The following is a 16971-nucleotide window of genomic DNA, read 5'->3' on the forward strand; positions in this document are numbered from 1 at the left end:
CCAGAGAATCCAGACAACAGCCACATTCAACTTTCAAAGACCTGTTAATTCCTATTCTCAGATTCTCAGACCAGAGTGATTTCAGTATAAAGTGGGACAGGATGCTACAAGAGAGGCTGAGAGAATAGGAAAGCCTTCACAGACTAAGAAAAGAACAGAAGACACAGCAACTAGTTCAGGAGGCCCTAGAGAGTTCTGCTGTGGTGAGAACATGATCATCAGGCCCCCAACCCCCACCAAGAAAAGGACATGGAATATAGAGAGATCAGAGACACGGCAATTTGTTCAGGAGGTCCAGCAGCTAACAGAAGAGCCCAGAAAGAGAACCTAAAGGAAAAGGACAAGAGGGAATTATTACTTTTTAAATAACACAAGACTTCTTAAAATAAGACACACAGAAACACTAGCCATAAACAAAGATAGACACATTTGACAAAAACATACCAACATTCAAATATCTGACTGATAAGACACCACCAGTTAAGACAAGCTACAGACTGGGAGGAGTTAGTTGATATGTGATAAAGAATTAGGATTCAGAATGCATGTGAAATACCTATATTAAAGTCAGTCCCTAGAAATCTAGGGATGGGGGAAGAGAAACAAAGAGAGAAGGAAATACAGATGGCCAATAAAGACATCAAAAGGTACTTAAGCTCACTAGCAATCAAGAAGATGCACATTAAAGGAATGCAATATACCTTTCTGGTCCTGAGGTAAGCAAACATTTAAAAGACCTGATAATGTCAAGTGTCGACAAACATGCAGGAAAAGGGGTATTTTCTCCCAGAGTGGGGAGACTGACAAGTAGCTTCGCCCCCTTGTAGAGACATGCGGCAGCACTAGTAACACTGAAAGTATATACCTAGCCGGGCATGGTGGCTCATGCCTGTAATCTCAGCACTTTGGGAGGCCGAGGCAGGTGAATCACGAGGTCAAGAGATGGAGACCATTGAGACCATCCTGGCCAACATGGTGAAACCCTGCCTCTACTAAAAATAAAAAAATTAGCTGGGCGTGGTGGCATGCACCTGTACTCCCAGCTACTTGGGAGGCTGAGGCAGGAGAATCACTTGAACCCGCGAGGCAAGGTTGCAGTGAGCTGAGATGGCACCACTGCACTGCAGCCTGGGCAACAGAATGAGACTCTGACTCAAAAAAAAAAAAAAAAAAAAAAGTACATACCTAAAACCAGGTACAATTCTGCTTCTAGGGGTATGCCTAGATAAAAACTACATAAACACGTGCACAAAGTGAAGTCACAGGAATGTTCACACAGCTTTCACTGGAGCAGCAAAAACAATGGGGGAAAGAGGAACTTATAAACCTGCCCATAAAAGAAACTATGAACACAGAGGTGCACTTCTCTAATGGATACACTCGGCAGCGCAAAAGGAACAAGCCTGACTTCTCTGTATCTATCAACATGGATGGACCTCAAAGTTGAAAAAAGAAAACTATAGGAAAACTACATATAGAAAAAAATCATTGGGAAAAAAAATAGATTGTTGGGCTGGGTGCAGTGGCTCACACCTATAATCCCAGCACTTTGAGGCAGGCAGATCACTGAGGACAGGAGTTTGAGACTAGCCTGCCCAATATGACAAAACCCCACCTCTACTAAAAATACAAAAATTAGCCAGATATGGTGGCACACGCCTGCAATCCTAGCTACTTGGGAGGCTGAAGCACAAGAATCCTTTGAACCCGGGAGGCGGAGACTGCAGTGAGCTGAGATCATGCCACTGCACTCCAGTATGGGCAATGCAGTGTGACTGTCTCAAAAAAAAGAAAAAGACTGTCTATGTCTATATAGTTTATCATCTATGTATGCATATGAAAATGAATTAGCTGTGTACAAACTGAATCCATGAGTGGTTGCCTGAGAAATGGTGGAAAGACAAAGAGTAAAAGAAGAAAAACAACAAATACGACAAAACAGTAATATTGTTCACTGATGGTGATGCCATTTGCTTCCTTTTTACACTTCTCTGTAATTATGAAATGTGCCAAAATTAAAACTAAAATAAATTTTTAAAAATTTAGAAATGAAAAAGGGGACATTTTCAAACTGTAAGCCCCATGGGCTAAAAAACAGGAAGAAAAAAAGAGCTGCCCCCAGCTGAATATGTAACCATGTCTGGGCCCACAAATCATGGAGGCCTCACCTCAAGGATGGTAAGGGGACTGGGCACAATGGCTCACGCCTGTAATCCCAGCATTTTGAGAGGGCAAGGCAGGCAAATCACCTGAGGTCAGAAGTTTGAGGCCAGTCTGACCAACATGGTGAAACCCTGTCTCGATTAAAAATACAAAAATTAGCCAGTGTGGTGGCACACACCTGTAATCTCAGCTACTCGGGAGGTTGAGGCATGAGAATCCCTTGAACCCGGGAGGGGAGGCTGCATCAAGCCAAGATCGTCCCACTGCACTCCAGTATGGACAACGCAATGAGACTCTGCCTCAAAAATAAAAATAAATAAATGGCTGGTAAGGGGACACAGTAAACACCTTCAGCCTAGAATTGCAAAGGAAAATGCAAAACCAAAAGGCCAGAAGGAAGAGATGGTGGAAGACAGGAACCTAGTCTCACAGGCTGTGGAGATGAGAGGGACCCTTCAAGGGTAGGAGAGGAAATGCAGGTTTCACTGTTGCCTGATGCTAAGGGGAAAGGGTGCTAAAGAGAGAAGAGTACTGCTACAGGGAGGAGCAAACCCTTCTGGTCCACAGGTCACCCTCATGAGCTGCATTTGTATTTTCCAATCACATCCTAGGATGACTTGCAAAAGTGTTTCACCCAAATTCTCATAAACATTCTTGCACACATCACTTTGTACACACATATAAGCATTTATCTAGGCATTCTAAGCACTTCATGGAATCTGCTAACAAACCAGCCACACATTTAAACCCTTTGAGAGTCTGAAGGAGAGACCAAAGGTGCTGAGCTGGGTCTCAGATGTTTGCTGACAGATCTTGCCCAACTGCTCCCCCTTCAAGGAACCTGGGGCAATTCAGATGGCTTCTGTGGTAGATTTCATTGCAGAGAAGGAAAACATAAATAGATTGTGCACATCCTCAAGTCTGACCAAGCATGGGTGCAGACTATTATTGGTGTTTTATGTACATAATGTTTGTTATGCAGATATCCTAGGTGGACTGTTAACAGAGGGGTTTGAATGCTTCCGTATTTGGAAAGGCTGGTTGGGGTTTTTTAGATGAAATGAGATATTATCATTACAATTATTATTTTCCCCTATTCCTAGAAATAACGGGATCTGGGCTTCTGTAGTTAAAACCTCACTATTCAACATACTTCCATGAATGGACTATTCAGATAATGAGGGATGACAGCATTTGATGTTTTCACCAGATAAATGCTTTATTTCAATAAATACTTAACTTGGAGGGAACAATAAAGGGACACAGGGTTCTTTTGCATTCCTGAAGATCTCACTTAGTTAAAAACACACAGCAGTCAAATCCGAGTTTCCCACAGGAAAAAATCCAGAGTGTGGGGAGGGGGGCCAGCCAGGAGCATGTTATCAGAAATCACAACTCTTCAGACATTGGAGGGTGTTGTTATTTTTAATTCTGTTTTATTTTCTCAGCATTAACTTAGATAATTCTCAGAAAGCCTAGCATAAATTAACAGCAGAGTGTAGCATGGTGGTTAACAGGGCTTCTTCGCAGTGTTTTATTACAGCTAACTTCTACTCCTCAGAGTCTGATTCAGGGGCCATCTTTCAGGCTAGTCTAGCTTCACTACTGATTATTCTGTCTTAGGATTTAATAATGACTGTACATTGTAAGAGCAGCAAACCTCATAGTTGCCCAAGTTCTGATGCCAGGCAACAATCACCTTGCATCATATGGTTCAGGCCCTTCTGCTTCCCATCTCACCTGGACCAGGGATAGCAACACTGCCAAGTGGGAACAGCATACTTATGATGGACTTCACCCACCAGATTTGAAACTGTGGGCGGTTTCAATAATATTTTTTAATTTGAGGGGGAGGCACAAAGTAGAGACATCATTTTTAAATCTTGTTTTATATCCAAGTATCTCACATCTGCTTGATTCATTATCTTAACTTAAAAATAAAAGACCTAAAAATAAGTAATGAAACTCTTTTTCTTCATCTTTCATAGCAGGGAGTTAACAGAGTAAATATAACTTTAATGAATTAGGAAAAAACCAATTTAAAAAATCTCCCATTTAGAAATACAGAGACAACTCTAAAAAACTGAAAACAGGAAGTTAAAAATGGCTGCCTCAGTCATTTTTTACAATGTAATTACATTGTAATTACACTTATTACATTTACATTGTAATTACATTACATTAAAAGAAATATTGACACAATGCTACAATATGGGTAACTCTTGAGAAGGCAAACATTATGCTAAGTGAAAAAAGCCAGACAAAAAAGGCTGTGCCATATTATGATTCCATTTTTATGAAATGTCCAGACTAGGCAAATTCATAGAGACAGAAAGTACACTAGTGGTTGGGAGGGAGTAGGGGAAACAGGGAGTGACTACTAATGGGTACAGGATTTCTTTTTAGGGTGATGAAAATGTTCTAGAATTAGATACTGGTGATTGTTGCACAATTCTGTGACTATACGAGAAACCACTGAATTACACACTTTAAAAGGATAAACTTTATAATATGTCAGTACCATCTCAATAAAGCTATTATAAAAATTTTTTTAAGTGGCTGCATCTGGTGAGGAGGCTGGGCAGGAGGACGGCAGAGAGATGACACCTTTCCTAAGTAACTCCATTGTCCTATTTCTCTCAGGAGCCACCCTGTCCCCATAATCACAAAGGCCCCTGCTTTGATTTCCTTATACCTCTCCTCCATAGCTCCAAGGCCCTGGTCAGACTGAAGCCTGAAACACCAGCCTGCTTCCCACAGCCCTCTTCTTTCCACACCCATCACCACATTTTGGACCCTGGTGCCGCCTGATCCCAAGACTTCTGAGGTTCTGCAGCAAGCATTCAGGGCCTGGCCTCTCCAGCCTAAAATCTAACTGGAGTCAGTCTCACTCAAACACTGGTCACACAGTGTGCTGCCTGCCACCCCTGACCCCTGTGGTGCTGCAGGAGGCCAGACCCCCACTCACCAGGCTGTGCCCAACTGGCTGATGCATTCTTTTCACCTCTTGGCCCAGGTCTACGAAGCAGCCTTCCCCTCCACAGTAAAAGCTGAGCTCCACACAGACTCTGTCCCATCTCCCGACTCATCAGGTGACTGTGCTCCTGCAGGCCTACCCTACCCGTCTCAGGTTTCTCCTGTCCCACACTGCACGTGTGGCTCCAGGTAGGCCGTGAGATCTCCTTAGCTGAGTGAATAACCCTGGAAAAGGGTCTGGGAGCTCCTCAGGGTGAAGGCTCACACCTGTCCTTGTTCCCTTCACAGCAGGCACAGCAGGCACTGCACAGCATCAGCCTAAATCGGGTGCTAAAGACATGAGTGAAGGTGGCAATAGAGAAGTGGGGCTGCCAGCCAAAAGGGCTGCCCTTCATGCCCCACAACAAGCCAGGGAGAGTTGGAGCTCAGTACTGTGGACAGACTGGTTGACACTAAGGCTCCGAATCACTAAAAACGGCCTAATTCTCCCTACCTGCTCTCAGGAAGGATTAACTTCCAGTTGCTTCCTTCCCTACCCAAACTCCAACTGTTGTAAACTGGAGAGCCGCATCAACTGGGATGACCAGGGATAACCTGGACATCATCCTCTGGGAACAGGACAGCCCCATCTCACCTGAACCTGGGCTGCTGGGAGCCCAGTGGCCCTCCTCCCCTCCTCCAGGCTTCCCTCCACGTGCCAGGCAGGATACTGAGGACACAGAGCTAGGAAACGAGAAAAAAGTCATGGAGGCAGCTCTCGCTGCCAGGAGCTCACCTTTTCTTCTGGGGGGCTGAGAACCAGCCCCTGCCCCTCCCCCTTGAATGAGGAAAGAGACCCACTTCCTCATTCTATAGATGAAGGAATTAGGGCTCAGAGAAGGTTAGGAAAGTACCTAAACACATGAATCTCTCATTGGCCCCCCCTGTGCTATTGGGTACCATCTCTGAGAAGCAGTGTCTGGTCACAACCTTCCTGGGCCTGAACCCTAAACGGCCACACATGAATTCTCATGCATCTTGAGATGTCACCATCACCTTACTGCTCACTGGTTTTCTTTTTTTTTTTGAGACTGAGTCTCGCTCTGTCGCCCAGGCTGGAGTGCAGTGGCACGATCTTGGCTCACTGCACGCTCCGCCTCCTGGCTTCACGCCATTCTCCTGCCTCAGCCTCCCGAGCAGCTGGGACTACAGGCGCCCACCACCACGCCCAGCTAATTTTTTGTATTTTGTTTTAGTAGAGACGGGGTTTCACCGTGTTAGCCAGGATGGTCTCGATCTCCTGACCTCGTGATCCACTCGCCTCGGCCTCCCAAAGTGCTGTAGGCGTGAGTCACCACGCCTGGCCACTAGTTTTCTGATTCCTCCTTGTTCCAGCTCTGCACAGAGACAGATCTGGACCACCTGCCCTAAAGCCCCACCTGGTCCCCATTCTATTCCCCAGCTGTGGCAGAGCACTACAGCCAGAGGCCACAATATGGCAGCCCACAGCTGACCAGGCTCTTGACTCACCCCAGGAGGCCCATGGGTCAACAGCTGTCATCCCCCAAGATTGGTCCGTAAGGGCACCTGCACAGAAGGATCAGGTTAGGACTGTGACACCAAACCTAGTGATTCAAGGCGACAAAATACAAGAGGAGGCTGACTCGCTAATGGGCACTACAAAATTCCATAAACAGAGCCCAAGGGTGTGTAAAAAAAATGCAACATAAGCTGGATTCACACAGGCAATGCACAGGTGAGTCACTATTAATTAACACCGTTTTAAAATTACCAACCAATGCTATATAAGTAAAAACAATAAAGGTAAAAATATATATGAGAGCAGTAGAGACAATATTTTATTATATGTATCACTGTTGTTTAGGAAACCCCACAAACCACCAGAAAAATCCCTTAAAACTAATGACACCTCTCAGGAGATGACTATAAAACATAAAAGTTAGTGTCTTTTATGCCAACAATTTTCCTCCTTTACCACCAATCAGTTCTAATTTTGTACCAAGATAGACAGACCCCCTTCCATCCTCAAAAGTCCTCAGCCCATCACCAGCTCTGACCCATGACTGCAGCAGCTAATGATAGGGGAGGCCCAGGAGAAACACAACTTGGACTCACCCCAGGAGGCCCACGGGTTGATGGCTGCCATCCCGAGGACTGATTGACCAGGCACCTGCCCAGGAACACAGCAAATCCCAACCTAGTGACAAAAGTGAAAAAAGACAAAACTAGTCCTTTCTCACAGAAGACCAAGTGGGAACAAAGAAGGGAATCCATCCACCGAAGCAACAAAAAAACTTGTAAGGAGCATCGTAAGAAAAGAGAATTTACATGTCAAAAAAGTAACACAATTCCTGGAGAGAAATGAAAGGTAATTTGCATAAGCTGGAAAAAAGAGCATGATCCTGAATGAGAGGGTACAAATTTGTCAGCTATTCCCAAGAGACAGCCAGTCACAACACAGATGGAACTTTTGGATTAATCTGACAATTATTGTAAAATCAACTTGCAATCCTCATATATTAGTGGTTGCCTAGAGCTGGGGGAAAAATGAAATGGGGAGTGACTGCTTAAGGGGAACAAGGGTTTCTTTGTGGGGTGATGAAATGTTCTAAAATTAGATAATGGGGATGATTGCACAACTTTATTAATATACAATAAAACCGGTGAATTGCACACTTTTAAGTGCTTAAAGTGAACATTATGTTATGCAAATTTAATCCCACCTCCAAAAAAAATTCACCTCCAAGATTTACTAAGCCTAAGCTTGTGTGTGTGTGGAGGACTTAGAGATGGGCCTGGCGCCCAGACCCCTAACTCCTCAGGTTCCAGATCTTTGTACAAGTCAGCAACCTCTCGAATGGATTCCTGGGTATGTGTATAAAGCACTAGAACACACAGTGGGCCTCAGGAGCACCGGAATCAGCGCGAAAACGCAGAATGCAAACCGTACTTTGCACCATTATTTGCAACTTGACAGTGACCGCCGCCGTCACTGCATGTTTAAGGGAACCCGGAGCTGTTTCCAACCCAGGTCTGACGTCCTTCACAGTGCTTTGTGTGAACTGGCAGGGGGAGAAACGACGGCTGGGGAACGAACGGGGTTATTCGTCCCATCAATGGCCTCAGAAGCATCCTTATCACCTGCTTCCAGAGCTCCCGACCCAAATTTCCTCCTCAAGACCGACGCGGCCGCGACGCTGCAAAAGCTCGTCCCGGCCTCACCTGGCTCGCGGCCGGCGGTCCCCCTTGAAGGCGGCGCAGCAGGATCGGGGTCTGCCCGCCTGGGGCGTTTGGCTTTTGTCCCGCGCCGAGGTCCGGCCCAGGAGTGCGCTTGGGAGCTCCCGGCGCGGCCTCGGGGACAAAGGCCCGCGGAGCCGACGTGCAGCAGAGTTCACCCAGGCCCGTCCGACCAGAAAACGAAGAACGCCCGGAGGCGGGAGGCCGGAGGCAGGCTGCTGGCTGGAGAACCGACGGCAACGACGGCGCAAAGCCGGCGCGGAAAGGGCAGGCGCAGGACCCACCCTGACGCCGCCTCTCCCAGCCGGCTCTCCTGACCCCCCAAGCCCCGCAGCTACGGCGGCCCCACAGCCTGAGCAAAGGCCTCACCTCAGCCGCGGACAATGGCGGCTGCTTCCCCGGCGTCGACCGGAGCGCGCCGCGGGGTCTGCTGGGAGCTGTAGTTCCAGGCGGGCACTTCCGGCGTCGGGCAGCGGCGCCGCCATGACAGGTTCCTGGGCCGCGCCGCCTCGCCCTGCCTGGGCGGGGTTGGGACCTTTCTGGCACCTGCGTCGAAGCCGGCGGCAGGATGGACTTTGTTGTCCCGGTCCCAGACCACCCTCCTCCACCGTCGCCTCCCACTGCAAAAAGGCCTGGGTAAGTCGCGGCCCCGCGGGCCTCGGTTTGCCCATCCGCAAAATGGCGCCTCGTGGTACCGGGTTTCCCGGGAGGAGCTCGGCGAGTTCTCAGCGCTCTCGAGGGATCCTTCCATTTGGCGTTCGCAAGATTGTGAGAAAGTGACTGCTGTTATTCTCTTTAAGATAAGGAACCTAATTCGAGCTACCCTTCTCTGTGAAGCTCGACGGCTGAGAACGTCAGGGCTCGTTCCCAAGTCTCTTTCCAGAGGCCAGGCTTTATGGGAGCATGGGTTACCAGCGACGCACCCTGTGAGTTTTCCTCTATCGATATGCATGGAGCGGTTCGGGAGCGGTGGCTCATTCCTGTAGTCCCAGCACTTCGGGAAGCTGTGGCGGGAGGATCAGTTGAGTTCAGGAGTTCGACACCACCCTGGGCAACATAGCGAGACCACATCTCTACAAAAAAAATACAAAAATTAGCCCGGTGTGATGGCGCGCGCCTGTAGTCCCCGCTACTTAGGAGGTTGCGGTGGAAGGATTGCTTGAGCCTGGGAGGTCAAGGTTGCAGTGAGCTATGATCGCACCACTGCACTTCAGCCTGGGCAACAGAGCAAGACCCGGCATTAAAACAAACAAAAACGGGCCGGGCGCGGTGGCTCACAGCTGTAATCCCAGCACTTTGGGAGGCCAAGGCAGGTGGATCGCCTGAGGTCAGGAGTTCCGAGACCAGTCTGGGCAACATGATAAAACCTCGTCTCTACTAAAAATACCAAAAATTAGCCGGGCTTGGTGGAGGGCACCTGTACCCAGCTACTTGGGAGGCTGAGGCAGGAGAATCGCTTGAACCCGGGAAGCGGAGGCTACAGTAAGCCGAGATCAAGCCATTGCACTCCAGCCTGGGCAGCAGGGCAAGACTCTGTCTCAAAAAAAGGGACTGAGGGACTGTAGGTGGTGATACCAAAGAAAGCATGGCCATTTAGGAAGCTAGACTTGAGTGAGCAGTGGGCAAGAGAGATTTTGAAGATATTTCCACTAGTAATGGAGGATCATTTTAAAAAGCTGGCCTGTGGGTTGGGCTTTTGTTGTTGGGTGGTGTTGGCACTCACTGTGGGTGGGCAAAGGGGAGTAGCCCTTTCAGAGGGAGAGGAAAAGTTCAAGTAGGACAGGCTGAATTCAAGGGAGAGGAAAATTTCAAGTAGGACAGGCTGAATTCGAGGGAGAGGACCATGAGAGAGGTAAGGTGGAAGGGGCAAGGTGTTGGGACAGGCCCCAGCTGGCAGGAAGGTGAACCCAGTCAGAGTGGGCACTGAGAGGAAAGCAATCTATGGATGGTACAGCCACAATTTCCATCTCAGGATCAAGCAGAGAAAGAGAGGCTGGAGAAGGAAGAGTGACAGAAGTAAGAAGAGAGTGTCTCTCCACTTCCACTCCAGCCCCCTACAGCTCATCCTCCAGCAGGCAGCCAAGGGCACTTTTAGGATCTCACATCAGGTCCTTGCCTCACATTCTGCACTGGCTTCCCAAGTAATTAAAGTAAAATCCAAATTCCAGCTCACAGCTTAGAAAACTCAGCAGGACTGGCCTCTGTCCTATCCCACACCCCACCTCAGTCCCTCAAGCTCATCTCCTGTCATTCCTGCCCATTTCTGGACCCCAGCCACTCCTCAAACAGGGTAAGTCCATTCCTGCTTCAGGGCCTTTGTACGTATTGTTTCCTCTTCCTGGAATCTTCTTCCTTGTACAGCCCCAGGGTTTTCTTTTTTTCATCCAGATCACAGCACAGATGTCACATCCTGGTAACAGCCAGCTGTGACTCATCTCCCTAATTCTCAATTGTATTACTCTCTTTTTATTTTCTTCGTATCGTAACTGATAGTCTCATACAGTACAGAAGCCAAGTTTTAAGATATGCAATCACCAAATACCTGCTACACAAACCTCAATGTTCATATAAAATAAGACTAGAATTCATATTCTAAAGAGAGATGAGGTAGCTCTGTTCACTTTTGAGAGGGAACTCAAATGAGAGAGATACCTTTGACCTAAAGGTGTCAGGAAACCAGATGAAGAAAAACACCCCTGCTATGATTTGAATGTTTTTATCCTCTCCAAAATTCATGTTGAAACTTACTCCCCAGTGCAGTAGTGTTGGGAGGCAGGGTCTAATGGGATTTATGGAGGTCATAAGGCTCTGCTGTCATGAATGGATTAATGTTGTAAACCAAAAAATAAAATTCTAAGCCCCCCACCCCCCAACCATATGAATAGACCCCTCCTCTCAGCCAAGGGCATTCCAAAGTTAATTTGAAAAATGAGTTCGGGCCATGATGGGAAGCAGAAGCTGGACTTGCCTCATTATACCCTCCTCCCTTCTAGAATTAGTGATAGAACAGACTCTTTAAGTCTGATAAGAAACATTTACAGTCTGTTATCTCCGGAGGTTTCATCTGCTTGGTAAAACCTTGAGTTCCACAACCCCAGACATTCCTTTCTATTGACAATAACTCTTTAAATCAATTGGCAATCAGAAATCTTTAAATCTGCCTATAACCTGGAAACTTTCTGTACCAGTATACATCTTATATGTATTGATTGATGTCTCATGTCTCCCTAAGATGTATAAAAGCAAGCTGAACCCTAACCACCCTGGGCATGTCCTCAGGATCTCCTGAGAGCTGCGTCAGGGGCCACTGGTCACCATATTTGGCTCAGAGTAAATCTCTTCAAATATTTTACAGAGTTTGACTCTTCGTCAACAATGCCATTGTAAAAGGTTCATGGAGAGATTCTGCATGTGCTTGCATTCTCTTTCTCTCTCTCTCTTTCTTTCTCTCCCCCCACCCCCACCCTCCACCACCCTGCCCTTTACCTTCTGTCAGGTGAGGATGCAGTGTCCAAGGCACCATCTTGAACTCATCATCGCCAAATATGTGAGCACCTTGATGTTGGACTTCCCAACCTCCAGACCGTAAGGCAGTACATTTCTTTGTAAATTACGCAGTCTCAGCTATTCTGTTACAGCAGCACAAATGGACTAAGACAACCCCCGAGATAGGAAGGGGTAAGGTAAATGCAATGAGAGTTGGGGTTTTCGATCTTAGTCCAGTAAAGGAGCTGGAACTGTTCTGTATAAACAAAGGGCAAGGTAATTGCTACATAGATTCTTTTCTTATTATTGCTGATTCTTATCCTAAAATAAAGGACATTGCCACTACACATCCTCTAGAATGACCAAAAATAAAAATACAGCATCAAATGGGACGACATGGTGCCAACTGGAATTCTCATACCCTGCTGATGGGAGTATAATGTGGTACAGTCACTTTGGAAAAAAGTTTGACAATTTCTTATAAAATTATACATAAACCTGTACTATGACCTAGAGATTCTACTCCTGTTTGTTCAAAAGAAAGGCAAACATCTGTCCACTAAAAGATATGTACAAGAATGCTCACAGTGGCATTATTTATGACGGTCCAAACCAGGAGATAATCCAAATGTCTGTAACCAAGAGAATGGATAAAGAAATTTTGATACGTCAATTTAATGGATTACTACTTAGCAATAAAAATAATTAGCCATGCTGGGCGCGGTGGCTTATGCCTGTAATCCCAGCACTTTGGGAGGCTGAGGCAGGTGGATCACCTGAGGTTGGGAGTTCAAGACCAGCCTGACCAACATGGAGAACCCCCGTCTCTACTAAAATACAAAATTAGCCGGGGTGGTGGCGCATGCCTGTAATCCCAGCTACTCGGGAGGCTGAGGCAGGAGAATCACTTGAACCCGGGAGGTGGAGGTTGCATTGAGCCGAGATTGCGCCATTGCACTCCAGCATGGGCAAAAAGAGCAAAACTCCGTCTCAAAAAAATAAATAAATAATAATTAGCCACATATCCACACAACAATATTGCATTATCACAGGTATAGTGATAAATACTGTATGATTCCATTTATATGAAGTTCAAGAACAGGCAAGTAATCCATGATGAAAGAAGTACTTACCTCTGGGGGTGGCAGCATTGACTAAAGAGGTACAAGGGAGTCTTCTGGGGCCTGGAAATGTTCTATATCTTGATCTGGGTGGTGGTTACACAGGTATACGCGTGTTAAGAAATCATCAGGCTGTATACTTAGTGTACTGTAATGGCATTACACTGTCTTTCAATTAAAATGTGAAAGAAAAAACGGGGGTGTCTTTTGCTTCCACATTTGTAGCCCCAGCTTCTGTATCTCCTGCGTGATAATGGTTGGATGAATTAAAAGGTAGGAGGAATAGAAGAGGAGAAAAGCAATAGGAAGAGGAAGGCTGGAAGAAAAGCCCAGCTCCACTGTCTCACTTGGGTGTCACTGGGTACTGGGGAATTTGGAAGCACTAGGGAACAGAGAGGAAGGTGCTCCCTTAGGCTTCCACTTCTCAGCCCAGTAGTGAGAGGCTATGAAGCTGTTGCCCCCTGGTGGGGGACAAGTGAGACCAGTGAGAGAGGGTTTTTGCCTTAGAATTGCCCCTTCCCTGGAGACAGCAGCAAGATGAAGGCCTCTCAAGAAGTGCTTCATCCTCTGGAAACCAGCGGAGGAAATGACTTTCCCAAGAGAAGGATCATACATCACTCAATCATCAGCAAACATTTATGAAGCACCTGCTCTGTGCCAGACCCTAAAGTGAAAAAAAACAAACACTGCACTTACGGAAGCACGAGATAAACAATAAACATAAGTAAATTAAAGAGTAGTTAGAAGGCAACAACTTTGGAAGAAAGAAAAAAGAGTAGGTGATGTAGTGCCCAGATGGGAAGGGCAAGTTGCCGTATAAAATTGGGTGCTAAGAGTGAGTCAGAGTCACCTCATTGAGGTGACATCTGAACAAGGACTGGAAAGAAGGGATGCAGATGGCTGGGCGCGGTGCCTCACGCCTGTAATCCCAGCACTTTGGGAGGCCAAGGCGGGCGGATCACAAGGTCAGGAGATCAAGACCATCTTGGCTAACATGGTGAAACCCCATCTCTACTAAAATCCAAAAAATTAGCCAGGCGTGGTGACGGGCTCCTGTAGTCCCAGCTACTCGGGAGGCTGAGGCAGGAGAATGGCGTGAACCTGGGAGACGGAGCTTGCAGTGAGCCGAGATCGCGCCACTGCACTCTAGCCTAGGCAACAGAGCAAGACTCCGTCTAAATAAATAAATAAATAAAAATAAGAGATGCAGACATCGGAGGGAAGAGCTAGAACAAAAGCCCTGGTGTGAGGGCCTGCCTAGTCAGCTGCGGGAACAACAGTGGTCATAGAGGCAATAAGGGGGCCAGATGGTAGAGAAAGTTGAAGGCATCATGAGGGCTCTGGCAGGGTTCTGAGTAGAGCATTGATGAGCTCTAGCCTCTGTATGGAGAGTAACCAAGGAAAGCAGTAGAGTCATGTGTGAAACCAATGTAGTAATTAGGTGGAAGATGATAGCCGCTCGGATCAGATTGGTGATCAGTGGCTGGATTGCGGACATGCTGATACTTTAAAGGTAGAGCCAACAGACCGTAGGTTCAAGGTTTTGCATCATAAGGGGCAATATAGCCTGTAATGTTCAGAAGGAGTCAAGAAATAAAGGAGGCCTCTCAATACAGAGCTATTCACCAAGGGCCTTGATGGGGAGGAAGTAAGTTGCAAGTGTGTGGAGATACTGCTCCCTTCTGGCCCAAGCTCCCTCCCACTCCAGTTACCCAGTGTTGCGGGCAGCACCCTATTCTCTTCTGGGAGGTAGCGGAGGCAGAGCCACACCATCATTTTGGATGCACCTATTATGGGAGGCTGGAGTGCAATGGTGCCATCTTGGCTCACTACAACCTCCGCCTCCCAGGTTCAAGGGATTCTGCCTCAGCCTCCTGAGTAACTGGGGTTACAGGCGCGCGATACCACGCCTGGCTAATTTTTCTATTTTTAGTAGAGATGGGGTTTCGCCATGTTGGCCACGCTGGTCTTAAACTCCTGACCTCAAGTGATCCGCCCGCCTTGGTCTTCCAAAGTGCTGGGATTACAGGTGTGAGTCACCGTGCCCAGCCTGGACTTGCCTTTTACCTCATCCGTGGTGTCTTTTGAAGAAAAAGATTCTTTAGAAATGTTTTTTCTTTCATAGCTTGTGTTTTATGTATTACTTTCAAGATCCCAACTAGATCTAGGTCCTAAAAATAGTATCCTACCTATTGTTTTTTTAATCAACTTAATTGTGGTATAATTGCACACTGCAGATAAACTGCACATGTTTGAAGTGAGTAATGTAAGTTTTTTTGTCTTGGAGCCCTGAGGTAAACTTTTATTTCTTAGCTGACAGGACTTCCACACCCATGCTCCTCTCGGCACCTTTCACCCAGCCCAAGCAGCGGCGGCCCAGTGGTGGAAAAGGTGCCACGGCCAAACGGATTGGAGACTCACCCCGCATTCTAGGCCGGAGAAGCGGGCGGGCTTGGGATGCCGGCAGGAGGCAATGACTCTCCCCAGGCGCTGCATCCTGGCTCCGGGGCACAAGCGCCTCTCCGCCCTGACGCTGATGCTCGTCTGGCTGCCCGTTCTTTGGCATCAAAATACCAGACGATGGTGGCGCACCCTGTGGCCTGGGCTGCCTCACCTCATTCGGTCCCGCCTAGAAAGACCAGAGGACCAGAAAACCAGAAGCCTGTCAGAGCGACTAGAGGCTGGCTCCAGCCAACAGCCGCGCGCCTCAGCGTCCACGAGGGTTACCTGGGTAACGCGCCGCTTGGGCTCGGCGCCCAGCCGATGACGTAACCCGCGCTTGCGTAGTGGCGCCGCCCTGATGTGTAGTCTCCAGGCCGCCCCGAACACCAGCCCAGCGGGTCCTGGACCCCTAGGTCATGTGGCTACAGTGGAATCCAGGCTTGGCCGAATCCAGGACGACCAGGCCAGACCCACCGGCAGTACCTTGCCCGCCCGCTTTAGTCACTTGCTCTAGGTGGATCTAAACCTCTAGGCCTGGGCGCGGTGGCTCACGCTTGTAATCCCGGCACTTTAGGAGGGCAAGGCGGCAGAATCGCTTGAGCCCCCGGCAGCATGGAGAGGTGGCAGAGGCAGGGCCATACCATCATCTTGGGTGCACCTATTATGGGAGGCTGGAGTGCAATGGTGCCATCTTGGCTCACTGCAACCTCCGCCCCCCAGGTTCAAGCGATTCTGCCTCAGCCTCCTGAGTAACTGGGATCATAGGCGCACGCTACCACGCCCGGCTAATTTTTCTATTTTTAGTAGACATGGGGTTTCGCCACCCCCGGCAGCATGGGTAGACATGGCCCTCCCGCCTGATCTCTTAAAAAAACTTTAAATAATTCGTGGGGGGGGTTACCGCCCACCTGTTTTCCCAGCTACTCCGGAGGCTGCGGTGGAAGGATCACCTGAGCCCAGGAGGTCAAGACTGCAGTGAGCTATGATCCTGCCACTGCACTCCAGCCTGGGCGACAGCGTGAGATCCTGTCTCCAAAATAAATAAAATTATGTACATATGTATGTATATTTAATTACATATATTTTGTATAATTTGTATATAGTTTATAATATATACATGTATGTGTACACATACATAAATATATGCGTAAATATATATATGCATATATATATGTAATAAAATATTAAGAACCCGCCCAGCCGAAGCCACGGGCGCTTTGGGCCCTCGGTTGGCCTCAGCCACTTCAGTCGCGGCCCCGGGGATGTTGGGGGAACCCTGTCAGGCAGCAAGCGCGTCCTCCAGCCCCGGGCGGCCGGCGGCTGTGCACCCGCCCTCCCTCCCTCCCACGGCGCTCGCCTGCATGCGTTTTGGCAAATATCTAAACCCGCAAAACCATCACTAGCTCTGGTTTCCCAAGATCCTTGAAGCCCCTCCGTTCAGCATTCCACGCCCCTCTCTGCCCTGCTTTCAAACCACCGCCAATCTGCTTTCTGTTATATATACAGATTAGTTTGGATTTTCTAACAGTTGTATATAAATGCAGTG

The 16971-nt window shown here is 47.8% G+C and overlaps 1 protein-coding gene and 1 long non-coding RNA gene across 6 annotated transcripts in view, besides 3 other annotated features; one reads left to right on the forward strand and one right to left on the reverse strand.

Moving 5' to 3' along the window:
• ZNF606 (zinc finger protein 606) overlaps window positions 1-9312 on the reverse strand; it is a 26294-nt gene extending 16982 nt beyond the window's left edge. For 2 of the 5 annotated variants that reach the window (NM_001348022.3, NM_001348025.3), the window contains exons 1-4: window positions 8362-8786; window positions 7255-7336; window positions 6649-6705; window positions 5774-5862 (exon numbers count right to left, since the gene is read on the reverse strand). In NM_001348022.3, the coding sequence (NP_001334951.1) occupies window positions 5774-5862; window positions 6649-6705; window positions 7255-7285 (177 nt within the window). In that variant the 5' untranslated portion in view covers window positions 7286-7336; window positions 8362-8786. Of the gene's footprint in view, window positions 1-5773; window positions 5863-6648; window positions 6706-7254; window positions 7337-8361 lie in introns of all 5 variants that reach the window. The other 3 variants (NM_025027.4, NM_001348024.3, NM_001348023.3) reach the window with 3 other exon arrangements.
• Window positions 8718-9137: an enhancer, noted in NCBI's record as "active region_15175". NCBI's record gives its function as "activates an Ori minimal core promoter by ATAC-STARR-seq in GM12878 lymphoblastoid cells {active_cell/tissue: GM12878}" and the evidence as "EXISTENCE:reporter gene assay evidence [ECO:0000049][PMID:35858748]".
• ZNF606-AS1 (ZNF606 antisense RNA 1) lies at window positions 8860-13172 on the forward strand. The gene is made up of 4 exons (NR_036508.1): window positions 8860-9012; window positions 9177-9302; window positions 10349-10666; window positions 11873-13172. It is a non-coding gene; the product is annotated as a ZNF606 antisense RNA 1 (long non-coding RNA).
• Window positions 15910-15959: an enhancer, noted in NCBI's record as "active region_15176". NCBI's record gives its function as "activates an Ori minimal core promoter by ATAC-STARR-seq in GM12878 lymphoblastoid cells {active_cell/tissue: GM12878}" and the evidence as "EXISTENCE:reporter gene assay evidence [ECO:0000049][PMID:35858748]".
• Window positions 15970-16029: an enhancer, noted in NCBI's record as "active region_15177". NCBI's record gives its function as "activates an Ori minimal core promoter by ATAC-STARR-seq in GM12878 lymphoblastoid cells {active_cell/tissue: GM12878}" and the evidence as "EXISTENCE:reporter gene assay evidence [ECO:0000049][PMID:35858748]".

This window comes from Homo sapiens, chromosome 19, assembly GCF_000001405.40.
Source record: "Homo sapiens chromosome 19, GRCh38.p14 Primary Assembly".
Taxonomy (NCBI): domain Eukaryota; kingdom Metazoa; phylum Chordata; class Mammalia; order Primates; family Hominidae; genus Homo; species Homo sapiens.